An 11603-nucleotide genomic window follows, 5' to 3' on the forward strand; every position below is an offset into this window, starting at 1 on the left:
ACTAGGTTCAAAATCCAGGAGTCAGCTTTGATTCCTCTCTGTCAATACGCCTCACCCATATCTAACCCCTAGGCAAGTCCTGTTAGCTCTGCCCCCAAAAGAGGTCTCAAATCTGACGGGTTTTCATCATCTCCAATGCTACAATCTGATTCAAGCCACCATGTCTTGCCTGAACTCCGGCAATAACCTCCTTATCTGGTCTCTTCACTTCCACTTATGCCCCTTATAGTACATTTCCAAGAATAGCCACAGTGAGCTTTTCAAGGTATAAAGCAGACCTTGCTGCTCCTCTGCAATCAGAATGAAACTCAGAATCTTCAAGGTCCTACATATTCTGTCTGTCACTCGCAGCCTCGTGACCACAAGCACCTGGACATTCTTTCTGTGCCTTGAACACATCAAGCTTGTTTCTGCTCAGGGACTTTGTACTGAGGTCTCCTTGTTGGGAACAAGCCCCCCAAAATCTGGCCATAAACTGGCCCCCAAATTGCCCATAAACAGAATCTCTGCAGCACTGTGACATGTTCATGATGGCCACAATGCCCACGCTGGAAGGTTGTGGGTTTACCGGAATGAGGGCAAGGAACATCGGGCCTGCCCAGGGCGGAAAACCGCTTAAAGGCATTCTTAAGCCACAAGCAATAGCATGAGCGATCTGTGCCTTAAGGACATGCTCCTGCTGCAGGTAACTAGCCCAACCTATTCCTTTATTCTGGCCCATCCCTTCGTTTCCCATAAGGGATACTTTTAGTTAATCGAATATCTATAGAAACAATGCTAATGACTGGCTTGCTGTTAATGAATACGTGGGTAAATCTCTGTTGGGGCTCTCAGCTCTGAAGGCTGTGAGACCGCTGATTTCCCACTTCACACCTCTATATTTCTGTGTGTGTGTCTTTAATTCCTCTAGCGCAGCTGGGTTAGGGTCTCCCTGACCGAGCTGATCTCGGCACTCCTCGCTTAGGATGGTTTTTCCTTGGGTTCTCTCATACCTGGCTCTTTCTTACCCACCAGGTCTCTGCTCAAATGTTGGCCCTTTCTAGCCCCACCTCACCCCTTCCTCCTCCAGTCACTCTTTATCTATTACCTTGTTTTATTTTCTTCATATCACTTATCACCATTTCCTTCCTTTCTTCCTTTTTTTTTTTTTTTTTCAGACAGGGTCTCACTCTTTTACCCAGGCTAGAGTGCCGTGGTACAATCCTGGCTCACTGCAGCCTCAACCTCCTGGGCTCAGGTGATCCTCCCATCTCAGCCTCCCTAGTACCTGGGACTACAGGTGTGCACCACCTCACTCGGCTAATTTTTGTATTTCTTATAGAGACAGGTTCTCATCTATGTTGCCCAGCCTGGTCTCGAGTGTCTACACTTAAGTGATCTGCCCACCTCGGCCTTCGAAAGTTCTGGGATTACAGGAATGAGCCACTGCACCCAGCCCTTTCCTTTTTCTTTCTCTTCGTCTCTTTTTTTTCTTACTTTATCTCTACGTGTAAGTGGTTTCCACAAGGAATAAGACCTTGTCTCGTTGCCTGTATATCCCACATGCCTTGAATAGTACGTGGTACATAGTAGGTGCTCCATAAATACGTTTTTTTGTTTTTCGTTTTGTTTGTTCGTTTGTTTTGAGATGGAGTTTTGCTCTTGTTGCCCAGGCAGGAGTGCAATGGCAAGATCTCGGCTCACTGCAACCTCCACCTCCCAGGTTCAAGTGATTCTCCTGCCTCAGCCTCCCGAGTAGCTGGGATTACAGGCATGTGCCAGCACGCCCAGCTAATTTTGTATTTTTAGTAGAGATGGGGTTTCTCCAGGTTGGTCAGGCTGGTCTTGAATTCCCGACCTCAGGTGATCTGCCCACCTCGGCCTCCCAAAGTGCTAGGATTACAGGAGTGAGCCACCGCGCCTGGCCATAAATATGTTTTTGAATTGATAATTAAATGACTGAGTGAAGTAATTACAATAAAGCATATTATCACGCAGTACAGCCATGGCAGCATTTGAGATGGCTGTTCAACTGTGTATTGGAAATATTTCCATCTGTCTGAGATTTACTTTTTATTTCATTTTAAGTTCTGGAAATATGCTTACCCATATCTGAGATTTAAATTCAATCCTGCCTGATAGTAAAAACTTGGACTAGACTTTTCTCAGAATTCTTAGCAATCTGGGATTCTGGGAGCCATGCCTTTTCCCAGGTCCCAAAGTGTTCTCCTTTCACCTGGTTCGTAGCAATCCCCAGATTAAAGTGCTCCTGTCAGCTGGGCACGGTGGCTCACGCCTGTAATCCCAGCACTTTGGGAGGCCAAAGTGAGCGGATCCCTTGAGGTCAGGAGTTCGTGACCAGCCTGGCCAACTTGGTGAAACCCCCATCTCTACTAAAAATACAAAATTAGCCAGGCGTGGTGGCGTACGCCTATAGTCCCAGCTACTCGGGAGGCTGAGGCAGCAGAATTGCTTGAACCCAGGAGGCGGAGGCTGCAGTGAGCCGAGATCGCACCACTGCACTCCAGCCTGGGCGACAGAGTGAGACTCCGTCTCAAAAAAATTAAAAAATAAAAAATAAAAAGCTCCTGTGGCCAAATGGTTGCTGAAATGGAAACCTGGCCACCATTCTTAATGGAGCAATCAGTCACCTTCATAAAAGGCACTGCCAAAATTCTACTCAGATTGTTTTATAGTTGATGTCATAACAAAGACTCCCATTCGTGGAGTACATATGACTTCCATCCATCTTGCATGCCTCCTAGCTAATTGCTGTGCCAACTCTGCGGGAGTAGATGTTATCCTCCTCCTAATCTTGCATGTAAGGAACCTGAGGCCCAGAGAAGCCCTGTGACTTGCCTAAGGTCACAAAGCTGATAAAGAAGGAGCTAGGATTCATCCCAGGTCTGTTTGGCTGCAATGTCTGGGCTGCTTTCACAACAATCTCGGGGCCAACTCCTTAACTCGGGGCAGATGGCCTGATAGCCACCTAGCTAATGCTAATTTGGGAAAACAGTCCTGAGATAAAGAGTTATAGAAAGCAGATTCTGTAATCAGCCTGCTGGCCCAGGAGGAATGGCAAGTTTTATCTCCTACAGATCAGAACTATTTGACTTGCAGAGATTCAAGGCCAGGATTGTAGGGTCTCTAGAGAAAAGTGTTTTCAGGCTGGGCACAGTGGCTCACACCTGTAATCCCAGCACTTTGGGAGGCCAAGGCGGGTGGATCACAAGGTCAGGAGATTGAGACCATACTGGCCAACATGGTGAAACCCCGTCTCTACTAAAAATACAAAAATTAGCCAGGCATGGTGGCGGACACCTATAATCCCAGCTACTTGGGAGGCTGAGGCAGGAGAATTGCTTGAACCCAAGAGGCAGAGGTTGCAGTGAGCAGAGTTTACCCTACTGCACTCCTGCCTGGTGACAAAGTGAGACTCTGTCTTAAAAAAAAAGTGTTTTCAAAGACAGTATGTCCATGTCAGATGTCATGCAAGGAAGAGCAATGTCCTCACAGAGAAGAGAACATGCTAGGGGACAGGACAAGGTGCTAGAAAGGCCCTGGGAAGGAGGAAAGATGGATGCTGAGCATGGGGCAGAAAGGGTAAATGCATCCACAGCAGGAAACTTGGAACGAGGGTTCTGTAGCCCTTGCTCTCCTTCCAGAATGCTGTTTTTTTTGGGAACAGGGTCTCACTCTGTCACTCAGGCCGGAGTGCAGAGATGTGATATCGGCTCACTGCAGCCTCAACCTCCTGCGCTCAGGTGATCCTCCCTCCTCAGCCTCCGAATAGCTGGGACCACAGGTGCGTGCCACCACTCCAGGCTAATTTTTGTATTTTTTGTAGAGATGGGGTTTCACCATGTTGCCCAAGCTGGCCTCGACCTCCTGAGCTCAAGCAATGCTCCTGCCTCAGCCTCCCAAAATGTTAGGATTACAGAGGTGAGCCACCATGCCCAGTCTCCAGAATGCTTTTTACTGCACCTCTGGCTGAAGTACCTTTTCATTCTTCTCAGAGCCTTTCACTGAGAGAACTTTTAGCTGAGGAGAAAGAGGAAATCCCAAGTCCTTAAATGTCACCTTCTCAGAGAGGTCCTCCCTCACCTTCTCATCTAAATCAGACACCTTCCCCTCACCACCGTTATTCTCTATCACTGTCCCCAAGTACTTCTCTCAATAGCATTGCTCACAATTTGCAATTATTTATGTATTAATTTTCAAGTTCTTTGTCTGGCTCTTCCCCTAGGGCAGAGACAATCTTGTTTTATTCACCAATGTGCATTCAGAACCTAGAACAGTGCTGGCACAAGGTAAATGTTCAAAAACTATTTGCTGAGTGGCAGCAGGAGTGAATGGTGTTAGGGTAGCTGATCCTTAAATTGGGCGGTCTTTGTGGCATGTAAATAAGTGATGGTGTAGGCTGGGTGTGGTGGCTCATGCCTGTGATCCCAGCACTTTGGAAGGCTGACAGGGGAGGATCACTTGAGGCCAGGAGTTTGAGACCAATCTGGGTAATGTGGCGAAAACCTGTCTCTACAAAAAATTTTAAAAAATTATCCAGGCATGATGATATGCTCCTGTAGACTCAGCTACTCAGGAGGCTGAGGTGGGAGGACCACCTGAGCCCAGGGAGGTCAAGGCTGCAGTGAGCTGTGTTTGCACCACTGCACTCCAGCCTGGGTGACAGAATGAGACCCTATCTCAAAAAAAAAAAAAAAAAAAGACAGCGTTCTCATCCCCCTCAACATCTGCCTGTAGGTAGAACCCAGGTTAGAGTTAACACAAAGGACACAAGGACCACTCTTTTGCCTACTGAGGTGAGGGGAATTCTGGGCTGCCTCTATGGCAATGAGCCCAAGTCAATTCAGTGCCCGCTCTCTCCTCTGCCACAGAAGCCCCTAGTCAGCTGGGGGCAATGTTGGGTGAGGGTAGGTCATGGGGGGGCTGGCCCCACTTTGTGCTGCCAGCAGTGCTGGCTGGCTCCCATCAGATATATGTGAGCTCTTGGCAAGCAAGAGGGAAGAGAGCTGTGGCAAGAACAAAGTCCGACCCCACCCCCACCCACCCCAGACTTGCAGGCTGCTGAGGGACGCCAACTGGGACTGGGCTAAAGAGACCATTATTTGTCATCTAATAATCAGGTGTCTGGGGGCAGGTTATTTCTCAGCAGGTTGAAAAACAGGGCACCCATGATATTTTGTTTCTCCTTTGGCCTTCCTGATAGCAGGGTTCACCCAAAGGCCTGGCTGACCTGTTTCTTTTAAGGGGGACCTTGAAATATAGATAAACACCCAGCCTCATGGAAGCCCTTCTGTACCCTCGGCTTGCCTGTGTTTTTCATGGTGCCATCCTTTGTTTATGAACTGTGGGACTTTTTTGTTTTTTGTTTTTTGTTTTTTTGAGATAGAGTCCCCTTTTGTCACCCAGGCTGGAGTGCAGTGGTGCGATCTTGGCTCACGGCAACCTCCACCTCCCGGGTTCAAGTGATTCTCCTGCCTCAGCCTCCCCAGTAGCTGGGACTACAGGTGCCTGCTACCATACCCGGCTAATTTTTGTATTTTTAGTAGAGACGATGTTTTGCCACGTTGGCCAAGCTGGTCTTGAACTCCTGACCTCAGGTGATCTGCCCACCTCGGCCTCCCAAAGTGCTGAGATTACAGGCATGACCCACCACGCCCAGCCTATGAACTATGAGACTTCTGAGAACTGTTAACAGGGAGGATAAATGGAGCCAGGAGACGCCTCACTTTGGCTTCAGTGGAACCTGTCACGGTCCAGATTGTGCCACTCTTTGGAATTTCTGAATGGTATGAATCCAGAGGAGAGAAACAACGTTCTGTTTGTTCTCATGGGCCCTCATACCACAGACGTTTACATCATGGGCCTGCACACTGAGAGGTGCTGGTCATGTTTTCCCACCAGTGTGAGGGGTTTGGATGATCTTGGCTTGTCCTCACATTTCCCCATTTTTTATTTTTTGAAAAGAGAAATTAAGACAGTTTATTGATCACTTACTATACTCCAGGCACAGTACTTGGCATACTTTTTAAAGTTGTCTCATTTCATTTGCATTAAAATCATTTCAGGATATATTATTATCCCTTTTATATACATAAGAAGATGGAGGTTCAGAAAAGTGGAGTAAATTTACTAAGCCCTCTCAGCTCAGAGGCTAAGTGAGAATTTGAACCCAGGATGTCTGGCTCCTAAACCTGTATGTTTTGCCCATTCAGGGCCCACAAGGGATGGGAAGTCTGGAACAAATTACCGGGTGGCCTGACTTCATTGCTTCTCAGTATGATCTAATGCTAAAGCACGTTTAGCTTGTTTGCCTTTCCTGGGGAGAAACAGAGAAAGGGAAGAGGGGTGAAGTGAAAAAAAATTATTTATTTTTTGCTGGGGTTCAATCTGGTCTCAGCATCCCATCCCATCTGGACAATCTGATCCTTTTTTTTTTTTTTGAGACAGAGTCTCACTGTATTGCCCAGGCTGGAGTGCAGTGGCTCGATCTTGGCTCATTGCAACCTCTGCCTCCTGGGTTCAAGTGATTCTCCCACCTCAGCCTCCCGAGTAGCTGGGATTACAGGCACCCGCCATCATGCCCAGCTAATTTTTGTATTTTTGTAATGATGGGGTTTCACCATGTTGGCCAGGCTGGTCCTGAACTCCTGACCTCAGGTGATCCGTGATCCGCCCACCTTGGCCTCCCAAAGTGCTGGGATTACAGGTGTGAGCCACTGCACCTGGCCCTGAGCCTCTTTAAGTAGGCCACAGTGTTACTGTCGTGACAGGGAAAAGGTGACACTGGAAGGGGCTAACCCCAGGTTGGCCTAGAACTGGCCGTTCCAGTGAGCTGAGGGGTCTGCATAATTGGATAAGATAGCCACACTTTTTCAGTCCTGCCCAAGAATATCTGTGAGAATAAAATGAAAGTTAGCCTGTGTCCATGTCTCCTGCCCTAAACAAAAGGAAGCTCAGTGAGACAGAACCCCCAAAGCAGTGACTTGTCTTGCAGGCCAATTACGTTGTCTCCCCAGCCTCTCTGCAGCTGTTCTGGCCTCTGCTTTCTGGGATGGAGCCTCTGCTCTGGGGGCCCTCCACAGCCCAGCTCCAGGAAGGTGACTGCTTCCTGGTTTGAGACGTATTATTAAACTGTAATCATACTGTGCATGGAGTCAGCCAAAGCAGTGGCTATTAATAGGGAGGTGAAGAATGCTGACTCAGAAGGAAGCTGACTTAGGCTGGAAGGGAGAGCCCGGCCACCTTGGCCTACAATTCTCAGCAGGAGGTCAGTGAGAGAGACCTGAGCTCACTTCGTTCCTGGGCAGGAGTCAGCATTATCTGGATTTCTCAACTTTGGAAATAGAAACCCGAAGCAGTCCTGATCAAAGGGATATTGAGCTGTCTTTCCCAGGTCCTTGGGGAGTCTCCGAGCCCGGAGTACTGATAGCTTAAATAGCTATGACTCAGCAGAGCAGCAACTCTTCCCTCCCGATGTCATGAGTAGATGAGACTTGGAAAGGGGCACTGGGACTCCATTTCCGTGACCTCCCTCAGCTGAGAAGCCTGTGCTGAGCCAGCCCTTAGCTGGCCGGACAACCCCCATTGGCAGAGACACCCAATTAGGGAGATTCTGTTTCTGGCTCCTTGGAGGTGACCATTTTCATTTCAGGTGAAGGGCCACGGTAAATGAAGGGCAGGGTGCAGGAGGGCCTCACACTGTGGAGAAAGGACATTTTTAGCAATTTCTGTCAATGCCATGCATTTCTCAGAGAGTTCAGACTTTAGCCGTCTGGTAGACTCCCCATCGTCAGGTAGCTGGAAGTAAGACAGATCCCCGAATCTGGCCCAGGATATGCCCCGGAGAAACAGGACTGCCCCTGGATGCACAATAGCCCTCACTCTGCAGCAGCCACCAAACAGCCTTCACACGTGCTGCTTCAGCTCGTTCTCACCAACCCCAGCAGGTGGGTGGTATCAGCCCTCTTAGCGAGGAAAACAGATTTCAAAAAGGTGAAGTGAGTTGGTCATACAGCTAGCAGGTGACAATGACGAGACTAAAACCTCAGTCTGTCTGCCGCCGGAGGAGAAGCCAGGCATGAGCTGCCCTTGTGCCCCTGGCACATGCCCATCTGTGCCACTTCTACCTAGACCCAGGTGTCCCCGACTTTGTTGCTACCCCAAAGCTCACACTGAGGCCAGGGTAGTGAAGATCTGGTGTGTTGGGTAGGGGGTGCTGAGAGGTTGGGGGAGCGCTATGTCATTCTCTCGCCTTTCTATCAGGTGGGTGGGGATGCCGAGGTATGTCTTCTCAAACTGGAAGATTCATTTTGGTTCCTGGATCTCCGTAGAAGGAGGTTTGGATGGAGGTAGGATGTGGGAGGTGTTTTCTCTTCCTCCCTAAAAATACTTATTAAGCACCTCTTGGTTTCAGCTCTGGGCAGCCTGGGTGCTTTCAGATTATAGAACAATTTCATGACACCATGGATCTGGTATTTTTCTCTGCTGTTTTTCACATAGTCTTAATATAGTTTTACCTGATAAGAACTATCCACATGTGTATATCTTTTTAGAGTTCTAAGATAGCATAATCCACATACTTAGATGTACCTATAAAATATCTTTTTACAGAATAAAGGGCATGCTATTAAGGAATGACTTTTCTTCCACTGATTGTCATGTGGATCACTTCCTGAACCTGAAGGAGGTTCTGGAACTCCAGACACCGGGTCCTGAGCTCTAGCAAGTAGCTGAGGGAAGAATTTTCAGCCCCCAGCTGCCAGGGGTTCTCAACACAGAAGCAGGACCAGACCAAGCTTTTGGGAATTTGTTCATCATTGTACAGCCGTATCACGGCCTATCCGGAGTGGGAGGGCTGGAGAGTAATTTCCTGACCCTCAGGCTCTGAGCTATTGTTTTGGGGTCTTGCGTACTCTTTTGATCAATTATTTTTTCTGCCTTTAGCCATAACAAGCAACAGGATGGTGCAGCATCCAGGTTCAGAAAGCTGCCTCCTCTCACTTAGTCAAAGTTAATTAATTCTCACTGTACCTTGAACTAGGTCAGCTGCAGGGCTGTGCTGGGCCTGACCTGCTGTCAGGGGAGGGCATTTCTTGTCTGTCTCTTGATGTGCTGTCCTGGGCAGGGAAAGTGGGAAGGGGGTAGGTTTCACCTTTGCGTGGGATCATCTCTCCCCCTTTCTTCCGGGGAGGTGACCATTTTCAGATCTGTGGGTGGGGAGGAAAATCTTCTCTTCCAAAAATAATCTCTCTGCAGTGGGGTTTGAAGCTGGACCAAGCTGCTAGCGCTATTTTTACCCAGCTTGCAGTTCAGGGTGTAAATAGCAACTCTGGCTGTTTTTTCCCACAGCTGACAACAGAGTCAACCTCTTCGAGGCAGGAGCATTCTGGCATTTCGCACAGAGAAAACAGAACACAATTTGCCCTCGGGCCCAGTTGATGATTCCTGGACCGTGGGGTCGATATCCAGGGCTGGCATCTCCACGGTTCTTTTATCTCAGTCTCCACTATAAACACCAGGCCCCATGAGAGCTGCTGGGCTGAGGCTCATTTAAAGAAGCTTCCTGCGGAATGATGAGGGAAAAGGCAGGTCCGTAAATCCCCGCCTGCGCCCGCCGAGGATTCCAAGCGCATGAGCAGCTCCAGGCTCCAGCTTGCTGTCCCCCTTGCCCTCCTTCTTGCATTAGCAGGCACTTCCTCTAAGGCTGCTGCCCTGGGAGGGTTTCTTGCAAACCCACTAGATCTGAGGAAAGACAGAGAAAACATCTACTTAAGGCTGCCCAGATGACAGCATGTGTCTAAAAATATATGTCTCCTAGTTTTCGAGTGATCGAAGGCCCCACAGCCTTCAGCACTGGAGTCATTTAGAGGTCATGGTGAAAGGACTGGCTCCCTCCTTGCCTCCATTTAAGCAGAAGCTGCGAGAAAGCCCCCAAAGCCTTGGGTCATGTCTCCAACAGGCTCGGGTGAGTGGGAAGTTCGGCCTCATAGAAGGCCCCTTGCTGGTGCGGTTCATGAGGACGATAAATTAGCAAAGCTGAGGTGCGCCCATCACGGTGAGCAGTTCTCTATTGCTTCTCTTCTGGGGAATGAACAGGCTTCATTTGCTTTTCCCTGAGGCCAGGTTTCTAACCCAAATCTGTCCCTGGAGTCTTTGGCCTGAAATAAGAAAGGAGTCTTGAGTCAGCAGGAGAGCCACTCCTCACTATGAATTACACAGCAACTCCTTGTGGATCTGCCCGTACCCTTCCCCCGGGCACACATCAATCAATCGAAGTATTTCTCAAATATCTACCCCATACCCAGAACTGGGCATTTAGGTACGTGGTTCAAGTTTCAGATTCTTCCAGCAAATGGTTTGTATGGGGTAAGAAAAAGGATTGGAGGTCAGGTAGGCAGCTGAGTAATCCCCAACTCTGCCTTTTTAAAAGTGGTTTCAGTTGCGCATCCTTGGAATTGATTCTGGGCAGCTGTTAATTGCAAAACTCACTGCCAATTATCGATAGCTAAAGTGGCATTGGAGAGCTTCTCATGGTAAAAATAGGGGCAGGTAATAGATGAGAAAATAGCTTTACATTTGAGAAGAGAGGATGGGAACATATTGTCTCAATCTTGCTGTGTTCGAGGTTTCCTTTGTCAGCCTGGGTTCTCTCCCAAGACTGGCCAGCAAAGTCTACTTAGTGACCTCCAGCAAATAGTCCACCAGCAAGCTACTTAAGATTAGAGCAGGCTGGGCGTGGTGGCTCACGCCTGTAATCCCAGGACTTTGGGAGGCTGAGGCGGGTGGATCACGAGGTCAGGAGATCGAGACCATCCTGGCTAACATGGAGAAACCCCGTCTCTACTAAAAATACAAAAAATTAGCTGGGCGTGGTGGTGGGCGCCTGTAGTCCCAGCTGCTCGGGAGGCTGAGGCAGGAGAATGGCATGAACCCGGGAGGCGGATGTTGCAGTGAGCTGAGATCGTGCCACTGCACTCCAGCCTGGGCAACAGAGCAAGACTCCGTATCAAAAAAAAAAAAAAAAAGATTAGAGCAAAACTTTATCTTGGCAGCAAGAACAGAGGGGATCTCTGCTGAGTTCAGGGCATCCTGTTTCTCACCGGGCTCAGTCACATTAAACAGCCAATACCAGTTTTAGGAAAATCCATGTTGAATTTTAAATGTATTTTGGCTCATTTGGGGGGTTATGATTGTCCAATTCAGCTGGTAGTTTGTGTATCAAACTTCAAATCGACAAACGATGTTTATTCAAGGAAGTTTCTTGAAGCCTAGATGGTACATGTTTACCTTAAAAAGCAAAACCAAAAAATTCCAAAAAACAGAAACAGGAAAAAGTGCCCTGGTGAGTAAAACCAAAAGCATGTGGCAGACAGACACAATGCAGGCCTGAGTATTTTGAACAATGCTCATGGCCCCAGCCTTGACACTGGGGAAACTGGGAATGTGGTCGCAGACTTCCTATGTCAAGTGTTTCCCTGGATTTCCTGGAATCCAACTTGAAGTGCCATTTCCCCTGGTGCCACCAAGGAGTTAAGCTTTGGTTCTGTTCTCCCAGTGACTAAGAATGCTCTGTGTGGCTCTGAGATCATCCAGAAAGAAACTGA

The 11603-nt window shown here is 48.4% G+C and overlaps 1 annotated feature.

Moving 5' to 3' along the window:
* Positions 235-284: a silencer, noted in NCBI's record as "silent region_8779". NCBI's record gives its function as "represses an Ori minimal core promoter by ATAC-STARR-seq in GM12878 lymphoblastoid cells {active_cell/tissue: GM12878}" and the evidence as "EXISTENCE:reporter gene assay evidence [ECO:0000049][PMID:35858748]".

Source organism: Homo sapiens, chromosome 17, assembly GCF_000001405.40.
Source record: "Homo sapiens chromosome 17, GRCh38.p14 Primary Assembly".
NCBI lineage: Eukaryota > Metazoa > Chordata > Mammalia > Primates > Hominidae > Homo > Homo sapiens.